General features: G+C 39.6%; 1 long non-coding RNA gene across 3 annotated transcripts in view, besides 1 other annotated feature; it reads left to right on the forward strand.

Moving 5' to 3' along the window:
- The window catches only part of LOC105374510 (uncharacterized), a 428,164-nt gene that overhangs the window by 202,765 nt on the left and 199,992 nt on the right, over positions 1-25,407 (forward strand). For all 3 annotated transcript variants that reach the window (XR_001741602.2, XR_001741601.2, XR_925445.3), the window contains one exon: positions 14,535-14,730. This is a non-coding gene — a long non-coding RNA (uncharacterized LOC105374510). The remainder of the gene's footprint in view (positions 1-14,534; positions 14,731-25,407) is intronic.
- Positions 15,560-16,060: an enhancer, noted in NCBI's record as "H3K27ac-H3K4me1 hESC enhancer chr4:18631748-18632248 (GRCh37/hg19 assembly coordinates)". NCBI's record gives its function as "activates a minimal SCP1, AML or CMV promoter by ChIP-STARR-seq in naive H9 embryonic stem cells {active_cell/tissue: H9 hESC(naive)}" and the evidence as "EXISTENCE:reporter gene assay evidence [ECO:0000049][PMID:30033119]".

The raw sequence follows: 25,407 nt of genomic DNA on the forward strand, positions 1-25,407 counted from the left end.
GACTCCAGTCACTAATAATCCAAGGATTGGTCAACCAAGTAGTGTTTTGCCCTCATGGATCTAGTTGAAGGATACCAAGAAGGTGGAAAATAATATATTTTTAAAAATTCATTAAAGTGTTAGCATGTTTTCAGTTGCATGAATGAATTTTTTAAACTTCATTTTGAAGACTATAAAAATGAGTAGAAAAAAGTTAGATAATAATTTTTAAAATATTGTTATTTTCTTATTACCATGTATTTGAACCTCAAACTATCAATACTGAAAACAGTTTTGGGGGAAATCATACTTAGATTAAATCTCTGCCAAAATATATCTCCTAGAATTCCTGTTATTTCCTTCCTTCCTTTCCTCCCTCCCTCCCTCCTTAAATTATAAAAATTCAAGCCTGCTTGATGAGAATATCTTAGTGAATTTAAATGTTCATTGTTAGGGGCATTTTGATACACATTAAATTTCTCCTCCTTTTAAATCACCCAGTGTTATTTTCTTCTTTCTTGTGATCGATGGGCTTTCACTTACTTCCTGAGATACTCACTTTCTTTCTTTTTTTTTCAATATTCTCATATAGAATTATCTAGACAACCTGGCTAGATCCTTTTCCAGCAAAAAAATAAAAAAGTTTGCAAAATTAAAAAAAATAGAAATATCCAGTGCTTGTATTGACTTTGGCATTTCAACTGTGTCATTTTCACAACTTAAGAATAATATAACTGATGAAAAGATGTCAACAGACAAAATCCAAGACTGAAGTGTTTCTTAAATGGCAAAAGATACTGATTTTCATGCTCCCAGAGGGAGGTACACACTCCCCAAATCTCTCAAATTTCCCTACACAGACATATAGTGGCTGATGAAAATACCAAATCAAAAGGTAAATTCAACTGGGTATGAGACATTTGCTTTTGTCATTCCCATGACCTCCTATTCCGCACCATATCTATTCACCCTTCTCTAAATGTTCCACATATTCTGAATACATTGCTATCTTATCATTGGACGTAAATGACTGGTCTACAGTAACTCAGCACATTTCTGAGGTTTCCATGTAAAATAGTTTCTCAGAAATAGTGTTCTTAACAGGTCCAAGTTTCAGATCGCTATAACACTTATTCACACACATATTTATTTTACATTATTTGCATTATCTATATATACATAGATATGTACACAGAGGGAGAGAAAGGAAGGGAGGGATGGAGAGAGAGAGAGAAAGCTTTTAATGTAGGCTTATAATTTAGTTATCTACCTAGGTGTAGATATTAATTTGTAAATCAAGTACATGTACTACTATCATTGGCAAATATACATGCAGGGCAAGGATCATTTTTAATGACCACAGATATCAAAGTATTCTTAATAATGTCATTAATTGGATATCTGACTTTACATTTGATTTTATGAGCTTATTGTTTATTTTACTAATAGTAGGAATAGGAGGAAGAAAATCAACTTTGACTTTTTTCTTATTCGTGTTCACATTTTGCGCTTGCATTTGCAGTATTTTCTTCAATCAATGATGTCTTTGAAGGAAATTTTTTTCAATTTATTTGTTCACTTGGTGAAGATTAGAGTTGCAGACATCATTGTTCTTTTCTGATATCTGGTTCCCCTCTACTTCTAGGTATGTTTGAGGATTTCTGTGTTACTTTGGGGTTAGGTGTTGTTATATGAGTATTTCCAGCTTATGATATTGGGCAAACGTGACATGTTGCCTCTGGGCCAGAGCATTTAAATGTTGGTGTTAAACCTCTTCTCTTTTTTCTGTTGTTGTGAGCAGTGACTTTCCAAAGTGGAAAGCATAACTAGAAGCTGCAATAATTACTTTCTATTATCCAAAAGCTGATCTTTCCAGGGTCTTAGAACCACCATGTAATCTTCACAGAACAGATCTAATAAGTAGTATAGGGTTATGAACATGACTGGATTTCCTATGGAAAACAGTAGAAGCAACCACATTCTGTGATCTGCTTCACGTGGGCCAAATCCCATAGATGAGTGGTCACAATCAGCAAAGTTAAAGATACTTAAATTTACTTATTGATTGGTTTATTTATTCCTACTTTATAGTAAGCTAAATCAAAGAATCAGGACCTCTACAGTGACTCTGCAGTTTAATAAACAAGCTATGCTATTCTACAGTTAGAAAGATCATAAAATCTTTGCACTTTAATAAGTTCATAAACCATAACATTAAAAGGGGCCAGGCACGATGGCTCATGCCTGTAATCTCAGCACTTTGTAAGGCAGAGGCTGGCAGATCACCTGAGGTCAGGAGTTCAAGACGAGCATGGCCAACATGGCAAAGCCCTGTCTCTACTAACAACAAAAATTAGCTGGGCGTGGCGGCACGCTCTTGTAATCCCAGCTACTTGCTGAGGCAGGAGAATCACCTGAAGCCAGGAAGCAGAGCTTGCAGTGAGCCGAAATCATGCCATTGCACTCCAGCCTGGGCAACAAGAACAAAACTCTGTTTCAAAAAAAAAAAAACAAAACAAAACAAACAAACAAAACTAAAAAGATATAAATTATTCCAGGGAATATTCACAAATCAGTGTTAAAACATAGATGTGGCCTCTTCCAATTTTGGAAGAGAAAATTTGTCTTGGGAAGCATATGCCAAATGAAAGGGCTTGTTTCAGTGAATTTAAAGAAACCTTTGAGTTTCAGTTTAAGTGTGTTGACCTTTAGCTTAAGACAATTTATTGTAGGAAATTGATTTTCACAGGTCCCTCAACAGGTCCCAAATGGCAGACTTCAGTGCCTTGATTTTGAGACAAGAATAGCATCATATACTGGTAATGTGGCCAGTGTCTAAGAAGTGATTTAAAAAACTGTGTTAAAAGGCAATTTTCTAACAGAGTCAATGTAACATTTACAGATAAATATTCAAATAGCTTGTTATAATCATCCATCTATCATTTACATACAGTGCATTAAATGAGAATGTATTTTGTCTACTAAATGTTAGGAGCTGGTTTGCAAAGACAAACAGGACATTGTTCTGGAAGGGCTCATAAACTGGTGGAGGAGAACAGAAAATCTATCCATTATAGAAGTCGGAAGAATGAAGTATGGCAACAGAAATAGCTTTGGGAGGTGGAGAGGGATATGGAGAAGCTTTTCTAGAGGGGACGACTGCTGCTCTGGGAATGGTTGGCCAGAAACATCAAAGGGGAGTGCATTCCAAGATGATGTATTAAACATGAAAACACCTGAGAGAACATGGGTCATTCAGACATTTACAGAAGCTTTGCTTCATTTACTACATATTCATTGTATTCATTAATTCAACACATATGTGTGGATACTATATGTCAGGTACTATGTTACAAATTTAGATTATAACTCTGAATGAGAGAGACATAGTCCCTACCCCAAAAGAGTTAACAATCTAGTAGAAGAGATTTATTTTTTGAAAAAAATTCCCCATATTGTGATAAAGAGCTAGAAAGATTAGGTAGACACCACTCTAGTGATATGAAAAGAGGAGAACTTAACCTGGATTAGTGGGGTCTGTGAAAGAAGTGATTTCTAAGCTGATATCTGAGGATGAAGAGCATTTATTAAAGACCAGGAAGTAGAAGAACATTTGAGGTAGAGGAAATATCATACAAAAAAGATCTTCAAGTCAGCAAGAAAGTGTATTACCTTGAGAACCAGGGTTATTTCAATGTGACTGGAAGAAAGGGTTTGAAGTGGGGATAACAAGCACTGAGTTGGAAGGACATGACTGCTTTTGGGACCTGTGTGCCTCCACACTTCCTGCCTATAGCTCTGAAGTGAGAGACAGTGAAGCTAAAATACACAAAGGTGTAAAAGAAAAAATAATTAGAGAGTCACGGCAGTGTTTATGTTCCCCATTCTAGCCATACATGAAGTCCGTAGGCCACCCTGTTCTATTACATTGGTTATTTAAATCTTCCCTGAATTTCACCAGTATTTTTGGCCTAACTAGATAGAGTTGACTTAATCTCACTAGCAGGCAAGAATACTAAGAAATGCTCTCATTAATAGAGCTTCTTATTCCCTTTCTCTAGTCTAACATTGTGTTGTGATTACTTGCCATATTCTTTCTTCCCAACTAAAGTATGAACAGAGGGGACCATGTGTCACCATCCTTGTTTCCCGAATACATGGAAGACGCAGTGAGAAGACTAAATAAGGCACATCACCCTGCCAACCTGTGAGTCAGGAGGCCCTATTTCTAGACTGACTGGCTATTACTAGCTGTTTGGTCCCTGTCCCGCTTCTGTAGGAATCTGTGCTTTTGTTTCATGTCTATGACAAACTTAGTAGATTAGATGCTGAGATCTTTGAGTTCTAAGTTTGAAAAAGCCTGTGAGTCCCCCTAATTAGGCCATACAGCTTCAGTGAGGTTCAGAATGAGTATTGCTTTATATCCTGTCAAGGCACTTAGCTTAGAGGTTTTTAATATTGGAATCCTAGCTCTGCTCAATATCCATCAATATTTACTTATTTCTTATTTTTTGAGACGGAGTCTTGCTCTGTTGCCCAGGCTGGAGTGCAGTGGTGCGATCTCGGCTCACTGCACCCTCCGCCTCCTGGATTCAAGTGATTCTCGTGCCTCAGCTTCAGGAGTAGCTGGGATTACAGGCACCTGCCACCATGCCCAGCTAATTTTTTTGTATTTTTAGTAGAGAGGAGGTTTCACTAAGTTAGACAGTCTGGTCTTGAACTTCTGTCCTCAAGTGATCCATCCCGCTCAACCTCCCGAAGTGCTTGGATTACAGGCATGAGCCTGGCCAATCTCCATCAATCTTAGCTTTCTCTTCAGTTATATGACAAATATTAATTTTCATTTTGTAGAGTTATTTTGAAGATTAAATGGCATGCAAAAAATGTCAAATACATTGCCTAGCATTTAGGTGCTAGAAATTTGAGCTCTCCTCCCTAGCCCATAGAAACATCAATCAATATTTGTTGTTTGTTTTGCCTTAGGTGTTAGTATAAAGCAGAAGGAGATGATAAAGTTAGGCAGAAATTCTAACTTTACTTCCCTAAGAGGAGAAAACAGGAAGGGTTCAGATTTTTGTATTCATGAGCCTCTTCCTAGTTTCAAGTTTTTATTATCTATTTAACAAAACAAATGTACTGATTCTCTATTCTGAGTCACTGCATTAGATTTTCTAGTCTTAAAGAAGTCAGCCCAAAACACCGAAAATGGAAATGAACCCAGTTTCAGACCAAATTACCTGGAACTCAAACCAGGAAATGTAACCTGACAAATACCTATGTGCTTTTGGGGGTGTCAAGATAGACTGTTTGAAATTGATTGTCTTGATTGTCATAGAAATGAGAACAGTGTATGTAAGAAGAACATTTTCTTCCCAGTTCCTGTCACATCCACTTCACCAACCAATTCTTTCTCATTGGTCAAATGTAAGTGCTTTTCCACATTCATTTCCTCTATCCACTGGGACATGAAATTGTCAGCCACACGTAAATACCTTCTATATCAAAGCTAAAGTGATACATGCCTGAGAAGAGGTGATAGACATATCCCCACAGGAATTCAGAGATGAAGACAGTATCTCCAGCTGGAACTTCTCTTTTCTCTCTATACTATTCCCCAAACCCTAGCTGCTTAGGGTTCAGCAACATCCACTTTCTCAAGAGCTGGACTGTAAGTTTCAGCAAGGTGAGTGAAAAATCAGTAAATTACACTGCAGAGCTTAAGTCAGGTTGCCTTTATAATTTGACACATTTTACAAGTGTTTGATTTAAAAACAAATGTAGTTAAAGAAGTTGGAACTGCAAATGCCCCTCTCCATTGTTTTCTGGTAAGGAGAAGTATTTCTTTAAGGCAAACATTTTCTGAATTGGATAGCCGCACACATGCCACAGCATCTCTCATTTTCAGTGAATCAAATTTTTAAAGGAACCTGCTTTTTCAGCTGCTCTGTATTGGATGCTCAAAGGATTTTTTTTTAAATAGGTTAAATTGAGGTAGTTTTTGGCAGGCCTGTAACATGCGCAGTAAATGCATGGCTTTAGGATTTTGTGAGTCAAAGACCAAATGGAGTAATTACTTGATGTCTGTTATGGACTGAATTATGTTTCTACAATATTCATATGTTGAAGGCTTAACCCCAATGCAGTGGTATTTGGAGATGGGGCCTTTGGGAGATAATTAGGTTTAGATGGGGTTATAAGGGTATGACCCTCATGGCAGGATTAGTGCCCTTATTAGAAGAGGCAGCAAAGAGTTGGGACTCCCTTTCTCTGCTATGTGAGGACACAGAGAGAAGATGCCCATTTGCAAGAGAGAAAGCGTGCCGCTTCCAGACCCCAACTATGCTGGCACCCTGATCTTAGACTCCTAGTCTCCAGAACAGTGAGAAAATAAATTTCTGTTGTTTAAGCTCTTCAGTGTGAAGTATTTTGTTACGGTGGCCCAAGCAAATATAGTCCCAACTTTTCTTCATGTATATATGTTAAGTTTCATGTATGGGAAACAAGCATGGAACTCTGTGGTTGAGTTACTTTCTAGGAAGATTCATGGCAAATAATGTCATTTTCATCTGAACAAATAGTGGCTCTGTGTGTCATGGCAGAAATGGATGGGAAAAGTGCATGATTTCCCCATGGTAGGAGTAAGATGGTTTTACTGAAGAGTGGCCTTGAGCCAATCCTGAGAAACTGTGTCCCAGGATGCAGCAGGACTCCACTGAAAGATGATGCTTGTTTCTCACAGCTCATGGACAGATCTAGGAGTTTGTCTCTCTCCTACCACCACCAAATTCAGCCTGTAAACTAAAACAAATGAGAGAGAAAGAAGCAAATAAATGCTGACTGAGGTCTATTCAGTGACTGTGTTTTCCAGGTATCCTGATGTAGGATTTCTGCAGATTATCTTAAATAATTATAATACTCTCTTTCTCAACCTAAACACCTTTCCCTCCTACCAATTTAGAGCTGGTTAAAGTGAAGCTTACAGAGAGAGGTTGATTGAATATCTCAGTATCACGTGGTGAGTAAAGATGGGGCTGAGACTTCAATCCAGGGGCATCTCATGTTTGTGTCATGTCTGACTGCTGTCAGTTGCAAAGACAGTCTCACAATCATTTTCCCTAAAGAAGTAAGGAGAAACTTTCATCCACTGAAAGGACCTACTCTAGCCACAGCACTGAAGGAAGAATCTCCACCTGAGAGTGGAGCAAAAATTCCAACTCTCAGCTTCAGCTGTTGTCTCTGCCTGGTCCATAATGAAAAGGAAAGGAACTCCACCAATATCAACCACCTAGAGGCAGGGCAGTGAGGGTTTTCTGCTTAATGGAATATCCTCCCTCTTATCCTGTATCCTTGGAAATGACTCCAAGCGCAAAGTTATAATAAGTTTAATTAACAAAAAATATTTTATGTGCTCAATTCAAATATTGAGTGGGCAGATGATACGCTGATTCTGAGATGCATAAAGCAAAGAATGACTGTACTACAGGGAGAAATTGTACAATTTCTCATTAGAGTGAGTGATTTTTAACATATCTCTCTCTCGGTAATTGATGAATATAGATGACTCTGACAACACAGTTAATGAGTCTTATTTAAAGGTATACATAGGGTCCTGAGTTAAGGAATCAGAGAATACATATTCTTCACACAGAGTATTTACAACAACGAACCGTGTACTATATATTGCAAAGGAAATCTTAATACATTTCAGAAGCTTGAAAATATTCAGACCAGGTTGCATTGACTACAAAGCAATTGACTTTGAAATCAGTTATCTCATTCATTTAGAAAATTTTTTGAACAGCTTCTATATAATTGGTACAAAAAATCTTTTAGATATTTGATATTCTTTATTTAATTTTATTTTATTAATTTTATTGAGACAGAGTCTTGCTCTGTCACCCAGGCTGGAGTGCAGTGGCACAATCTCAGCTCACTGCAACCTCTGCCTCCCGGGTTCAAATGATTCTCCTGCCTCAGCCTCCTGAGTAGCTAGGATTACAGGCAGATGCCACCACACCCGGCTGATTATTGTATTTTTGGTTGGCAGAGATGGGGTTTCACCAAGTTGGCCAGGCTGGTCTCGAACTCCTGACCTCAGGTGATCCACCAACCTCGGCCTCCCAAAGTGCTGCGATCACAGGTGTGAGCCACCAGGCCGGGCCTTGATATTCTTTGAAACTAAAAAATAAAGAAAATACTACACATTCATACTTGTAGGTATTTTGAGAATTACATATAGAGAAATATATAGCATGAAAAGAAAAAAACCTGAAAATTAATGAGCTAAACATTCAACTAAAGAAGTTAGGAAAAGACATACAGAATAAAACCAAAGAAAATAGAAAGAAGAAATTAATATAAATAGGAGAAGGTAATGAAACAGGAATAATATACAATAGTAAGAAATAAAGTCAAAAGTTCTTTCTTTAAAGTAACAAATAAAAATAAAACCTTCGCAGTAAGCAATCTAGAAAAAAAAAGGAACAAAGAGATATATCGAAGATAAATAAAGGGGCTTGATTAGAAATAGATTCAAGATTTAAATAATACAAATATACCTAATTATTTTGTATTATGTGTTCTTTTTAATTTTTTTGATTTTCTTATTAAAGTGCAAAAAATCTATCAAATAGCTAAGGGAAATAAGCACTGTTTGTTATCACACGCCTTAGGCAGAGTCAAGAAACACGATTTGAGAATGAGACCTTTAAGACTGGTACTGAAAGTAGGGGTAATTCCATAGGAGAATGCTTAGGAAGCTGGCAAAAGAAGGGGAGAAAAAGTGTGTGTGTGTTTGTGTGTGTGTTTCCAGAGTATACATTTTTACTAAACCTCTGTGTTTCTAATCTTCTTGGTCTAGATTTTGCCCATTACCACCCCTTCCTGCCAATGCTTTGATCAAGGTCACCATTGTCTTTCTAATTGTCCATTTAATGTCCTATTTTCTGTTTTCGATATTCTGATTTTTGTGTAGCATTTGCCACTTTTGACTTCCCCCTCTTCCTCCACTTCCTTCTTCAGGAATCCCTATTTATTTTCTTGAAGTTCAAAACATCACCATTTACTCAGACTTAACATGTCCTAGTACTCTCCTTTTAACTGTCCTGTTTCTCTGATGTATTTACACACCTTTGATGAGGCTGTGACATTCTCTGAATCTTCTGCTACAAACTTCCAGTGTCCTACAACAGATCTTTCTTTATTACTCAACATGTCCTTTTAGCTTAAAAGTAATTCCCATATTTGTCTCCTCTTCTCTATTACCATTGCTTTTACCTTTGTTCCAGCTTCATTGACTCATACTTTTAAACCACCCCTTTGAGTATTTTCAGTATGTTTATGGTCCTGAGGGGGAAAAATCCCCCAAGTTCCCAATAGTTTATTTTTATTCTGAAGATTGCTTCAGGATCCTCTCTCAGCTGTTCACTTTCCCTTCCCCAGGCTGCCATTTTGTGTGACTTTAAGCCTTGCCTTATTCTCATCTCTCTTCTCTTCATGTTGTTACGGGGAGTTGTGTGTTCTGCCTCCATTGTGTTTGACTGAATAAAGCAGCTTCCAATCCAAGCGCTGACAGGAAGAAGGCTTCTCGCATAAACTATGGGATACATCCATTCTCCATTGGATTTTCTTGTTTGCCAGTTCTTTGGTATGGTGATTTTCTTTCATCTGGAACTTCTTGAAATTTCATGTTAATAACTCTTTCTTTCACTCTTGGGAAGTAAAGGTCAAAGTCTTTCCAGTGAACTACAAGGTTTCACCTGGTCTAGCCCCATTTAGCTCCTTAAGCCCTCTTAACATTCTGTTCTTCTGCTTACTCAGCCTGTCATATTGTCCTCCTCACTATTCTTCAGACTCAGCAGGCATAAACCACCAGGGGTGTTTGAGTGAGCTGGTCCCTCTCCCTAGATGTTCTTCCCCCAGTTGTCCACAGGAATCCTTACTTCTCTCTAGAGTCTTCGAGTATTTGTCCCTTTCACAAGGCGTCCTACCTGATTATCCAACTCACTACTCCATGCCTATTGTTTTAAAATATAGTATATTAAGAGGCCGGGTGTGGTGGCTTATGCCTGTAATCTCAGCACTTTGGGAGGCCGAGGCGGGTGGATCACGAGGTCAGGAGATCGACACCATCCTGGCTAACACAGTGAAACCCCGTCTCTACTAAAAATACAAAAAATTAGCCAGGCGTGGTGGCGGGTGCCTGTAGCCCCAGCTACATGGGAGGCTGAGGCAGGAGAATGGCGTGAACCTGGGAGGTGGAGCTTGCAGTGAGCCGAGATCGCGCCACTACACTCCAGCCTGGGCGACAGAGTGAGACTCCATCTCAAAATAAATAAATAAATAAATAAATAAATAAAATATAGTGTATTAAATATAGCATAGAGCATATTAATATGCTTCCTGCCTGTTATACTAAAATATAGGGAAAATTTGACAGAAAGGCCAACAGAGTAGAAATTGATTGCCATTTTCCACTGAAAATATAATTTGTTACTCACAGTTCCCAGAGCATCCACCATAGGGAAGCATTACGGCCAGTCACAAGGTAGAAGGAGTGAGGGGAACTAAGGACAAGAGCCTTTATTCTGGGTTCTGCAGGAAGGAATGGACAAAGCAGGGCAAACAGACTTCAGATTGGCAATTTGAAGAACTTCAGCAGGTTCTGGGACATAGGAGTTGTTTCTAGTGATCTGGCACCTGGCCCTGGGGTGATTAAGGCAGATATGTAGTACCCCGGAGAATGAGAGCCCAACAAGGAATGTGGTTAGGGGTGTGGACTCTTGGTTGGGTGGTTTATATTTGAAAAGCACACCCTCAGGAGTAGAGTTGGGGGACCATCAGGGAGGCAGGAGTCTCAGGCTAGGCAATTCAGGCATATCACTGGGTTGTCCAGAACAAGGTGTGTCCAGCATATGCATGTAGGGCAGATGGTAAAGCACCAACTTTACAGAAGTTAGTAACATGGTTAATACATTCGTATTTCTAATTCTCTTTTCTTTTTTCCATAGTATTTTTTTTTTTTTGAGACAAGTTCTTGCTCTGCTGCCCAGGCTGGATTGCAATGGATGATCTCATCTCACTGCAACTTCTGTGTCCCAGGCTCAAGCAATTATCCTGTCTCAGCCTCCCTAGTAGCTGGAACTACAGGCACATGCCACCACACCCAGCTAAGTTTTGTATTTTCAGTAGAGATGGGGTTTTGCCACATTGCCCAAGCTGGTCTAGAACTCCTGAGCTCAGGTGTTCCGCCTGCCTTAGTGTCCCAAAGTGCTAGGATTACAGGCGTGAGCCACCGCACCCAGCCTCCACAACATTTTATCACCTTCTAACTTACCATACCATTTACCCATTATGTTTATTGTTTATTACCTGACTCCTCTCTTTAGAGTATAAGCTTCAAGGATAAGGAATTTAATTTCTATTTTATTAACTGATATCCCGAACCTAGAAAAATATGTAGCATGTATGTTCAGTCACTGTTTATGGAATAAACACCTTTAGCTCTACAAGCTGTAAACTGTTGGCATTATATCCCATGTCCCACGCAAGATTCTGAGATGCTCTAACCTGGCTGAAGATCTGGTCCCTGATTGTTCATGGAGTTGGACAGGACAGTCTGGACTCTGGAAACAAAATCTAACTCCTTAAGAGGTCTTATTCTTAGTTCATTTAATTTTCATTTTGTTTTTATGTTGAAGGTTATCTGGATGGAATAATACAGCTTCTAGAACTCAAGGTCTCTTAAGCTAGCTTCTTTGTTAATAAATAACAAGATAACAAGATTCTTCACCTGTGATCTTTAGGTTATTGTGAATTGAAATCCAGAGGTGGATACACACACATAATGTATGTGGATGTGTGTATCACAGGTGAAAAGGGAAGAGGAGGAAAGTGTGTGTATACTTCTGCACACAGGCTGGAGAATAGAAAACTCAGGATGATATTCATGGAAGGTTTCTAGGCCTTCTTTTCTAGTAAATCTCAATGTCTCTTTACATATTTTACAGAGTTGTTACCATGGTAACTATTTTAAAAAGTCAAAAACATTGTAGCTTTATATTCTCCACTTAGAGCTTCTAAAAAGGGGGTGTCCCAGATACTTAACTTCCAAATCTTTTCTTTCCAATTACACACCACATTGACCTTTTATACAATAAAAAATAGGCATTTGTTTTGTCAATGAATAGTTGTGTACAGTCCATGTCAACTTGGCCTTATCACTCACACAGTGTTGTGGTTGAATTGCAAAGGAAATATACCAAATTTGATATCTCATTAAAATGATTATCTCCTGAATAAATTTTCTGAATTTAACCATATTTCTTATTTTATGCTTAAAAAATTCTTTCACATCTATGATGGAATGAGAATAATATTTTAAATATCTCATGTGATAGGAATTATACTTCTGACAAATGTTGTCAAAACACTATGGAGATTCAGTCTATGCTGGAGTTTTTTTCTACCACCTACTTTCTTTAAAAAAATTGAGAACTACACACTGAGACAAAAATTATGAAAACATACTTGGTATGCTTGGAACTAGAAGCTCTATCTTTTGTTGTTAAAATATACTACAAAGATCGAGTGTCTGGAGAACTGAAATCCATTTTGGGTTTTCACTGCCATGCATAATATGTTGAGATACAACAATTGCCAGTTGGATCTCTTCCTATGCTGTCTACATTCACACAATATGTTTTTCTGCTAGGCGTGATAATGAATGACAAAAAAATTATACCAGTTGGTGGCAATGTTGTTTTCATAGCAATGGTCACTTAGTTAAAACTGCAGGACTTTGCTGATTTTTCCCTTATAAACTCTGTTATTTTGACTTTTTAACTTGTGCTACAAGTTATTTCTGGCTTAAAAATGAGGCCAGGTTTTCTATAACTTCCAAGTATTCATCTTGTTATCTTTAAGCCTTTTTTCATTTCTGAGGGCAAACCAAATGTGAAATAATAAATAGGGTTGTGTGACCTGAAAAAGCAAATTCTGAAGACCGCAGGAAACTCTGTAAAACATTGCCTTGCCTCATCAAGAAATTACACATACATGTGGTAGAAAGCAATTTTGAATACTGATTCCTGAATGCCTTTCATCTGGTATCTGTTTCAGAACTTATTACTTAATAGGCAGAGTATGTGATATTTAGTGAAAACTTCCCTGAACATCAATTTTCATCCAACTAAAATCAAAAAGCTTTCCAAGATAAGCAATTGATAAAGTTTAACTGTCTAAAATTATTTCATGTGTAGAATGGACATATGGGATACAAGAGTACATCTGGTGGTTGGAAATTGAGCATGTACATGCATTGGCCTAAAGTTGTGCTAGAATTCTTCACCCTCTTGCTCAGATTCCAACTCCTACAAGAAACCTTTCCAAATCACACACCGCTTTAAATTAGTATTTCTACATCAACTCTTATCAACTTCTAAAACACTTTATTCATATCTTTGGTGTTGTACTTATCACAACTTGCTTTACATTGACTATTTGTGCACCCATTACACTCAATAGGTATCAGTTTAATTCAACAAGTTAACTACACACCAATCATGTGCTAGTCCCACTGCTGGACATCAGTAAGTAAATGAACTTTGCAGAGTCCATGGCTTAGTCTTACTGAATTGTGTATTCCTCTTTCTTCCTAGAATTGTGTGTTTGTTGACTTTGATGAAATCTGAGCCTTCATCTTTAAAGAATGATACTGTTCTACCTGTTTCTTGAATAAATGCAAGCAGCAAACCTAATGTCAAGAACTAAATACATGAATTGATGAATAGATAGTGGGCCAAGACTCAGAGACTCAAATACCAGGGATAAAGCAAGTGAGGGGACAGAATGATGAAGCAAGTGGGTTTAGATGCAGAGCTAGGAGGAAATGGAGAAAACAATATAGTCATCATAATAGAAACTACAACCACCACATATACTGAGCTAAGGACTGTGCTATGTGCTTCTTATAAATTAACTCACTTATTCCTCCCAACAGTTTCCAAGGTGGGCATTATTTCCCTTTCATAAATGAGGAATCTTATAGGTGCTAATATCAGCTGCCTGTCTGGGTTCTGTTTCCTAATTTTTTCTTTCTCTCAGAACCCTGATTTGGTTCAGATAGTCACCTCCTCCCAACATAGACCAAACACCTACAGAACAGGAAACTGACGATTTTACCTGTAGGAGAGGTCCTAATTGGTTTAATAGTAACTCCATACCTTGCCAATGATTTGTTCAGGAACTTAGGCCTAAAATGTTCAGCTCATGGTACTGCCTGGTTCTAAGAATTTGTTGAGAAATAGGCATGTGATCCAATTCAGGCTGAAGGCTTGCTTGAGGGCTCCCAGGAAACATTTTCCTTTACTTGGAATCAAATCTTTCATTTCTTCTCAATTAAATACTGCTCAGATATGAATGCAGAAATTGCTACAGACATTTTGCCTTCATGACACAACTAGGAAGGATTTCCAGTTAAATGAGCCAATGTCTATCTGAATTAGATTTTTTTTGTTTTTGTTAGTCAATCTGAATGAATTTTTTTGTTTTATTAGTTACTGCTGAAAGCATCCTGAGTGACACAAACTTGAAGCATGCAAGAGGACTAAATAACTTCCAAAGTCACACATATTGCATGTCAAGAGCCAGCTTCAAACTCAAGTCCCTGTGACCAGAGGTCGATGCTCTAAACACATTTCTGCATGACCTGCTTGTGGCAGCCTGGAGAAATTCTACATAAATCTTCTCAGAGTGAGTCTGTACTTTTGATGTGCTAGTTTGGTCTTCCTAAATAGGCTTCTGTTTCTGTCACTCTTACAATTTCTTCCCAATGTTGTGGTTCTTTTATCAGGGCCCTGACCCAATATTTTCATAGTCAAGTTCCACCTCTCTCCCACAATGACTGGAGACACTTTCTTAAACTCTTGGCTAGTGGCTGCAAGGCTGCTCCAACTCAGACGAGTCTCTCAGGAATCATAATTCACCCAATTGTGAAGCCATCTCTCTTTAGAGTGTGTCTGGAATTGGTGGGTTCTTGGTCTCGCTGACTTCAAGAATGAAGCCGCGGACCCTCGCGGTGAGTGTTACAGATCTTAAAGATGGTGTGTCCAGAATTCGTTCCTTCAGATGTTCAGATGTGTCCAGAGTTTCTTCCCTCTGGAGGGTTCATGGTCTTGCTAGCTTCAGCAGTGAAGCTGCAGACCTTCGCAGTGAGTGTTACAGCTCGTAAGGCGGTGCGTCTGGAGTTGTTCATCCCTCCTGGTGGGTTTGTAGTCTCGCTGGCTTCAGAAGTGAAGCTGTAGACCTTTGCGGTGAGTGTTACAGCTCATAAAGGTGGCACGCACCCAAAGAGTGAGCAGCAGCAAGATTTATTGCAAAGAGGGAAAGAACAAAGCTTGGGCACCAGAAGGGGACCCGGAGGGTTGCCGCTGTTGGCTCGGGCAGCCTGCTTTTATTCGCTTATCTGACCCCACCCACATCCTGCTGATTTGTCCATTTTACAGAGAGCTGATTGGCCCATTTTACAGAGAGCTGATTGCTCCGTTTTGACAGGGTGCTGGTTGGTGCATCTACGAACCTTGAGCTAGACACAGAGTGCTGATTGGTGCATTTACAATCCTTTAGCTAGACACAAAAGTTCTCCAAGTCCCCACCAGATTAGCTAGACCCAGAGCGCTGATTGGTGCATTTACAAACCTTTAGCTAGACACAGAGTGCTGATTGGTGGGTTTACAATCCTTTAGCTAGACAGAAAAGTTCTCCAAGTCCCCACTAGATTAGCTAGACACACAGCACTGATTGGTGCATTTACAAACCTTGAGCTAGACACAGGGTGGTGATTGGTGCATTTCCAAACCTTGAGTTAGACATAAAGTGCTGACTGGTGCATTTACAAACCTTTAGCTAGACATAAAAGTTCTCCAAGTCCCCACCCAACTCAGGAGCCCAGCTGGCTTCCCCTAGTGGATCCCGCACCAGGGCCATGGGCGGAGCTGGCCGCCAGTCCTGCACTGCGCTGCGCACCCGCACTTCTCAGCCCTTGGGTGGTGGATGGGACCCAGCACCGCAGAGCAGGGGGCGGTGCCCGCTGGGGAGGCTCTGGCTGCGTGGGAGCCCACTGCGGGGGGTGGGGGCTCAGGCATGGAGGGCAGCAGGCCCCCAGCCCTGCCCTGCAGGGAGGTGGCCAAGGCCCAGCCAGAATTTGAGCACAGCATGGGCAGGCAGACAGCGTTGGGGGACCCGGCGCACCCTCCGCAGCTGCTGGCCCAGGTGCCAAGCCCCTCACGGCCCAGGGCCGGTGGCGCTGGCTGGCCGCTCCGAGTGTAGGGCCCTCAGAGCCTGTGCCCACCCAGAACTCACGCTGGCCTGCGAGCGCAGGGCGCAGTCCCAGTTCCTGCCTGCACCTGTCCCTCCACACCTGCCCGCAAGCAGAGGGAGCTGGCTGTGGCCTCGGCCAGCCCAGAGTGGGGCTCCCACAGTACAGCGGTGGGTTGAAGGGCTCCTCAAGCACAGCCAGAGTGGATTCCCAGGCTGAGGAGGCGCCAAGAGCCAGTGAGGGCTGCTAGCACGTTGTCACCTCTCAAGACCACCCGTCTATCCATGTGGACTCAGCAGCTCAGTCTCCTAAGAAATTCTGTAGCAATCCTGACTTGATTAAGAGTTCGTTTTGTCTCACAATACTGATTTGGGCTGCTACTCTCATTTCTCTTAGTACTAAATGTGTTAGATTCCAGGGTATTTCTCTCTTGCCAACCCTGCCTTTCAGAATCTATGCTTTGCAATTGAAGTGGGACTTGGCTGTGATAGTATGCTGGTTATGGTCAAAGATGGGCCATGTATATACCACTGTCATACAAGGCGTGATAAGAATTATAATCGACATCTAAAAAGTGCAGTTGGTGTAAAAGGGAGATTAATCCAAACTTTATCTACAGAAAGACGAAAAGACAGAACAAGAGAGAGAAGTTTATATAATGGATGGGAATATCATGTCTTATTTTTAACAAGCGTCTCAGAACCCACAATAGTCAATGTTTTTCCTCTCTCCTGCCTTCTAACTCTGCCCCTTAAAGGTTTGTGCTGGCCTCTTTTAAGATTTGGAGTTCTTGCTTGGTGAATTTGAAAAATGGAGACTCAAATTGCTGGCATATTGAATTGCTCCAAGGACATAATGAAGTTATCTTGGCAAATGAATCAAATGATAGTTGTTAAGCAAAAAATCAGGAAAATAATTTAATGTTTATACAGTGTTGCCAAGAGTCACATCTTTTTAGATTTCAAAGGAGCAACTAGCTGCCCAGAAATCTTGATAAATGTATGTTGACATCCTAGAAAAGAGTGGCCATTCAATTACTTCCATACTATATCAGCTGAACAAGGAGATGAAAAGCATATGGTTGGAAAATGCCCCCAAGTTCATGAGGCCTTTGACTGTTTCTAAAATATTTGATATTAATATCCTTTTCAAGCTGGTCTCAGAGAATTTCCTTTCAACCAAGAAAACTAAAGGGGAAAGATTAGCCCAAGTTAGATGTCAATTCAGATCAAATACACAAATTTATATGTATTCATCTATTCACTTATTCAGCCAGTTATTCATAAACCCTGAAAATATTTATTAGGCACCTACTTTGTGATAGGCTCTGTGTGAGGCTCCAAGCTTGTCAAAACTAATGTGAAAACAAGCTATTTTAAGAAACTCACAATAGGCTGGGCATGATGGCTCATGCCTGTAATACCAGCACGTTGGGAGGCCAAGGTGGGAGGATCACCTGAGCACAGGAGTTTGAGACTAACCCTGGCAACATAGCAAGATCTTGTATGTATAAAAAATAAAAAAAAATATAGATTCTGGCAAGACTGCAGAGAAAAGGGAACATTTAGACACTGTTGGTGGTAGTGTAAATTGTTTCAACCATTGTGGAAAACAGTGTGGCAATTCCTCAAAGAGCTAAAAACAAAAGTACCATTCAACTCAGCATTCCCGTTACTGGGTATGTACACAAAGGAATGTAAATTATTCTGCCATAAAGACACAGACATGCATATGTTCATTGCAGCAATATTCACAATAACAAAGACATGGAATCAACCTAAAAGCCCATCAATGGCAGATTGGATAAAGAAAATGTGGTACATATACACCATGGAATGCTGCATAAAAAAGAACAAAATCATGTCCTTTGCAGGGACATGGATGGAGCTGGAGGCCATTATCCTTAGCAAACTAATGCATGTTTGTTGCATGTTTTTACTTATAAGTGGGAGCTAAAGGATGGGAATACATGAACACAAAGAGGGAAACAACGGACACTGGGACCTACTTGAGGGAGGAGGTTGGGAGAACAGAGGCGGCAGAAAAAATATCTATTTGGTACTAGGCTTAGTATCTGTACAACAAACCCCCGTGATGCGAGTTAACCTATATAACAAACCTGCACATGTACCCCTGAACCTAAAATAAAAGTTAAAACAGGCCTGGCATGGTGGCTCATGCCTGTAATCCCAGCACTTTCGGAGGCTAAGGTGGGTGGATCACGAGGTCAAGAGATTGAGATCATCCCTGGCCAATATGGTGAAATCCCGTCTTTACTAAAAATACAAAAATTAGCCGAGTGTGGTGGCGTGCAACTGTAGTCCCAGCTACTTGGGAGGCTGAGGCGGGAGAATCACTTTAAACGGGGAGGCAGAGGTTGCAGTGAGCCAAGATAGTGTCATTGCACTCCAGCCTGGTGACAGAGCAAGACTCCGTCTCAAAAACAAAACAAAAAAGTTAAAACAAATGAAATAAAAAGGATAATATTTTTTAAAGTAAAAATAAGAACAAAATAAATAATAAATAAATAATTAGTTGGGCATGGTGGCTCATGCCTGTAGTCCCAGCTATTCAGGGGGCTAAGGATCACTTAAGTTCAGGAGTTTCAGGTACACCATAGTTGCACCAAAGCACTCTAGCCTGGATGATAGATAGAGATCCTGTCTCAGAAAAAAACAAACCCCCCCAAAAAAATCATTTCACAGTGTAGTAGGATGTGGGCAAAGGGATTAGGATCCTGTAAATACTACTCATTGCAATGCAATATGGTTGATACTTGCTCAATCAGAGGCTTAAAAGGTGATGTGGGGGCAAAGATGAGCTAAACCCGCTAGGGAAGAAGACACCACTGAACCGACATGTAGACAGAGACAAAAAGGAAGAGTCTGTGTCCACCATACTGGCAAAAGGAGAGAGAATAATAAGAAAAAAGATATGGAGGCATGAAGCGGCTTGTAGGATGTTGGTGATATGGGTTCAGCAGGACTTAGAGGGAGAGAGAGCCTATGAGGCTGGAAAGATCTATGGGGCTGGAACAGAAGGGGCTGTGGGCTAAGACATTTTGATTTTATACTACAAGGATGCTAGTCCTGAAGGCTTTGTTTTGAAGATGCTTTAAGAAATTTACTTGACACTAGACGACAGGATGGGGAGGAGAAGAACAATATGTATTCATAACAACCAGGGTGAGCATGTGATGCTTTTTGACCAGATGTCTTCTTCAGGTCACTTTTTCCTTCTGAAGAGATACCCAGCCCTGGCAAACACTACACAGCCAGAGACCCAAATAGTCTGGGTGAACTGTAGCAAGTCATTTAATTACTGAGTCTGTTTGTTTCATTGAGAACGATCAATGGACTTTTCCATTTCTTACAGTTTATTTAGAAAAGAAAATGTTTACGAGGGAATTCAATTAATATCTATGGCAGACCCACTATGTACTTATTGTTCTGCTGTTTTAACAGAAGAATTTAGCCTTTGTATTCTTCATAAGAAGCAAATGAGGTGATATATATGGAATGGTTTTATGCATGTATATGCAGGGATATTTATATAGGCATACGGTCTGGTTAATTTTTTTCTGGGTAGAATTATAGTATCAAGTGAAGAAAAGTGAGTAAAAATGGTGGATAGAGATTATCTGGATCAAACTCAACTTTTTAGTTAGTGTATTCATTATACCTTAACCCATTCCAAAATAAGCCACATCACATACACATGAAGAAACTAAGTCCTGAGAGAAGATGGTCTCAGGGAAACATGGTTTTCTGGTCAGAGAGGAATATTAGAACTGCTTCCCCTTAGCCCACCCACTGCACTTTCTCCTTTACTTTTCTCTTTTAGATGAAATTTATATGGTAATGTATTTTAAGAAAATAATTGGAATCTACCCTTAGAAACCAAGCAGTTAGTTCTTGTTTTTATTATTTTCTGATTGAAACATTTGGTGTGTATGTATGTCTGGGTGTATCTCCTCCACACAAAGACACACACACACACACACACACACACACACACACACTATAGTATTCTAATGTCTGATGTTCCAACTGACTCTGGTACCTTCAACATTGCAGGTAGATTCAACTACCCCTAGTTAAAAACACTCTTGGTGTATGGAACAATAAGGGTAAGAATTAATATTCATTGAGCAATTGCAATGAGTCACACATTTAATACCTATGAATTAAAGGCTAATCATTCCCATTCTACAGATGAAAAGACTGAGGGACAGAGAGAGTCACATACTGGTTTAAGTTTACATAGCTGTTTAGTAATAAAGCTCAGGTTTAATTCCAAGTAGTCTGACTCTAGACTCCTGCTTCAGTTCTAATCTAAGGAAAACAAATCTGATCTAAAGAAAACACCATCAACCCATGAAACTCAGCCAGGGTGTTGATAATTCTGGAGATAAATTCCATAGTCTCACCTGGAGCTTTCCCTGGTGACCCTTACAATGTTGAGATCCTACAGGGGACTGCACATGAATGTTTGTACCAGAAAGAGATGGGCAAGGGGAGTTGCCCTGCCTCTCTTATTAAGTTCATAGGAGACCTTCAGGCTGGAGCAGGCATGGCTGAAGAGTGATGCAAAGAGTAAAGCCCACCTCCTCATTTTTTTTTCCTTGACTATTTTGCTTTCTCCCCACTCAAGCCTTATCTGCCCAGAGATTGGGTCTCTCAGACACACTGTCAGACAGAAAAAAGGCACGAGAAACTGCTTGGAGTGTGGTAGGGAAAAGAAAAATAAAAAAGCATTGGAAATGTTTAGCTAAAGTAAGAATCATGCTTGACTGGAATGAGGGAATCTTGCAGGAGATAAAAGCACAGATGGGGATGTAAGATGCTGTGATAAGCACAGATCCTCTTTCTTTTGTGTGTTGGAGGGGAGGGAGCAGACAGCTAAATTTCCTTTCTATGTGTTATCCACCCATATTTCTTCGTTCCATTTAAAGGGAACATGTTGATCATACGTAACAGAGAACCAAAGGCTCAAGATATCTTTTCTAAATGGAGGCTAGTCAGAACTCTGGCCATTCCAGATCCCTTGATTTGATAAGAAATCATCTCTAGAGTAGTTATCTAATAAGTGCACAGAGAAGGATTTTATATTTGATAGAAACCTGTATTAGACCAATTTAATTTAAAGCTAAATAATCACATGTATCCCTGTAATGTTATGGAAATACAGCCTCTAACTGTGTAGGATGCCACACTCCTGACATTTTTATAACAACATCAAAAATGCGTATTGAAATTTCTTTTATATTTCCTTGAAAAATAATGAATGTTCTTCTTTGTGCCTCCACCGGCTGTTTTGTCTAATCAGCTTTCTCGGACAAGTGGACAGAAAACATTTGTTGAATAACTCGTGATAAAAGCTGTCAGGAGTGGTTGAGAATGCTTTTCTTTCTTATTTTTTGCAACCGTGGAAGAAATTAGATATGCATGTCATGCTGAGGGCATCTCATTTTGAGACTAAGCCAGTGCTTTTGAAACAATACTAATTTTCCAATTAGAGTGTGCGTAGCCCATGGAGCTCCTTATGAATGAAAATCAAGCATGGATTGCATTTAGACGAATTCCATGAAGCAGGATTAACAATACACAGGCTGGAGAAAATTGCCGCCGGCTGTAGTCTTTTATAAATGGTTAGAGCCAGAATTAACAATCATCTAACCAAATTTCTCACTTTATAAAGAAAGGTGTTGCGACAGAGAGAAGAAAATGTTTTTCCTATTGTTGGCAAAGGCTCCCAACACAGTGTCCATGCCCATTCCCAGGGAGATCTGTGTTTGGATTTTTATATATTCTTCCACTTTACAGTTGATGTCAATGTTTCATTTAATATCCAATATTTATTGATTTACAATGATGGCACCGCTTTTATTTGATGTTTTGTCTTTGCAGTCACAATGGGGATGTTTATTAGCTTGTCATTTTCATTTCAAATTTATTTTCTTGCCACTTTACAAAATGGATTCATCACAAAATTGGAGAACTGGAGGATGCAGAAGTTTACTTTTATAGCGTTTGTATTTTCCTGATTGAGCCAGAGACTGGAACATTGCACTGAAATTGTAACATTTTTCTCTACCAGAATATGTCAAAATGGCCATGTTTTGCATGTACCTCTAAATAATTCTGGAAACAAAAGGTCACTTTAGAATTCTCTGAGCACCCACTCACAGCATTTTACATTTAAGAAATTTAGACAGATTATTTAAATGAGTTATCACAAACTCAATTATTTACAGGATAAAGGCAGGAATCCTGGCATGACAATAGGACTAAGCTACTTACATTTCATGAAACAGACTATTTCACATTCCAGTTCAAAAATTGAGTAGTCCAAGTACAGCATTGGAAGGCAATATCCACAAAAGTCTTCCCAGTTTTGACCTGGATTTAAATTCAGTGTCTGATACCTAAACCCCTCTATTTGGAAATGAGAATTAGGACCCTGCTCTCATGAATCTCAGTGCCAGGGTTTTTCCACTCCACTGTGTGGCTTTTCCTGTCTTCTAATTTATACGGCTACTCCTTTATTTGAATCCATCATCTATGCTGGTGAGGACAAATTCCAATGAAGAGTTTTCATTGGCAGCACCAGTCAGGCAATAATAAAAAGTATTTGGAGGAATTTTCTTGATTTTTCATCTCATTGTGTGTGTGTGTGTGTGGTGTGTGTGTGCATGTGTGTGTATGTGCCTATGTGTGTATGTGCATGTGTGTGTGTCTGTATGTGAGAGTATGTTATGTGGATGAATATAAATGTGTGTGTACATGTATCTTGGTGTGCATGTGTATCTGCATGTGCATGCATGTATGTATGTGTGTGTCTCTGGGTATGGGTTGGCAGCTTGGCACATGACCTGGATTTTTCCCTGTGTTACCCTGCTCAATTGTGTGGGCACGCATTTATTTGCTACCATATTTTCAATGTCCATGAGCTTTGAAATGGTTTGTTCTCTAATTCATTATGGCATGTTTTCCTTATTTATCATGACCTGCCTAAATCAAGAATTAAATGCACACTCTTACAGGCTTTCTTCAACACCATGGATTGGCCAAGGGATATTTGCAGAAGAGGCAGACTCTAGAAATTAATCAAAGCATCTGCCATTTTCCCCCTTGACTTCTTACTGATGCCTACTTTTAAATTTCCACACCTTTCTTTAGTAGACACCAGTGATTTTTGGACTGCTTATATTGTGCTGTTTTTGCCAAATAGGAAAGGGTTACAATTGATGTAATTTGATGTCTTTCACCCTAATTGTAGCGAAAGCTACTCTAATTGTAGAGAAGCAGGAAGTACTAAAGACACATATACTTTTTTTTTTTTCTTGGCTGGAAAAGCTTTTCTAGCAGTTACTTGTCCCAGAAGCCAGTCTCTAATCTTCAAGTGTTTCTGGAGAAAGCATCAAAACGAAGGAGAAAAGTGTTTGTACACTGGGCACTTGCAGACGGAATTTGTGAGACCTTGAAACACAGAGGGAGACAAAAACAGCTTCATCTCTGCAGAAACTCACCATATTCTTGTGAGGATCCATTGGTCCGTTAGTGGTTGAAGTGAAACCTATATGTGTATGTTGTAATATTTAATTGAACTGCTTAGGAAAATCATATAATAGTTTTTTTTAATGGCTTTACACAAATAATTTTCATTCAAAGCCCAGTCAGGAAAAGTCTGAGTTATAGAAACTACCAGGCTATATAGGCTGCATCAAAAATACCTCAAGTGACCAAGAGATTTATTGGTGCCTAGACCAAAATGGACAATCCTTGGGTGTGGACATCTACCTACATCAGGCCTCACCTCTTTCATAGGAAAGAAAGGAAGAGGAAGATGTTTTGTGAATGCACTATCTTACACTCATATAATACATTTCCCACAGTAAAGTTACATTTTCAGACACCCAGCTGTTATTGCCTTTAATCTATACTGAGGATCAACAATAACTTGTATTTCTATAGTGTTTTGCCCATTACAGAGCTCCTGCATATACTTCATAATGACCTTTCCTACTAGCCATCATGCAAGTGCAGTCATCCCCACCTTACAAATGAAAAGAAAAAGGAACTAAGAATTCATGAAAATGGAAGTTGAAAACAAAGATTTATCCATGGTAGCTGAGGATCCTGAGGTCAAGAGTATGCAACAGTCATCACAATTTACTGAAAAATCAAAGCTTGTTAGCGGCAGAGCTAGAACAATATCACTGGTATTGTGATTCCAAAACCAGTGTCTATTCTGTGACTCATTCAATAAATCTTCATTGAATTCTTGTCACATGACAGTCAGTATCCCTGTTGCTGAGGCTACAACGGCAAATAAGACATGATTCTTGTTTTCAAGGATCTCAAATTCAGGTCAAGGAGACAGTGAAATATGCAATCAATTACAATATACAGTGTGGTGAGTGCTGAGAGAAATCCAAGTATAAGAAGACACTGAAAGTGGGCACAGATCTGGGCATTAGTGACCATTTTTGGAAGGAATCACTTTTGTCCAAGTTCTGAAGGACATATTGGTATTTTATAAATAAAGCAAGATTCTTAAAGGCGTTTGGAACAGTAGGGAGTGAATTTTCTAGGACCCAGAGGTAGGAGAGAAGGCAAACGAGAAACAAAAAAACTGAACATGTCAACCTTGGCGACCTGGATGAAATTCAATCTTACTAGTGTGTAGTGGCAGGAGACTAGGCTGGAGATATTAGCAGGGGGCCTTGTTAGCTGGATCTCCTCTCTCTGCAGCACATTTGGCTACATCCCTGAGCGCACAAGTCAGACTGTGCCCTGTTTCTAATCAGAAAAACCCTGCTGTTCTTGGTATCCAAAGGCAGTCAGACCTGGTAATGGGCCTTGCTTTGACCTTTGGTCTTTGATGAAGAGAGTTAGGATCTTGAAGACTGTCCAGGGAGTCACTGACTTTCACTTATAGAGAATCAAGTTTGCAATTAGTGAGGCCTGGGCACTTGGTATTGAGTTTGGCAAAGGAAAAATCCCTCTGCTGATAGGGGAATAGCTCTTCAGAAGGTGTTAGACCATCGGTAGCTTGCCAAGATTCTTTAAGTACCAGATACTGGAAGGTTAAACAGACCATCAGAGTAC

This window comes from Homo sapiens, chromosome 4 (assembly GCF_000001405.40).
Source record: "Homo sapiens chromosome 4, GRCh38.p14 Primary Assembly".
Taxonomy (NCBI): Eukaryota; Metazoa; Chordata; class Mammalia; order Primates; family Hominidae; genus Homo; species Homo sapiens.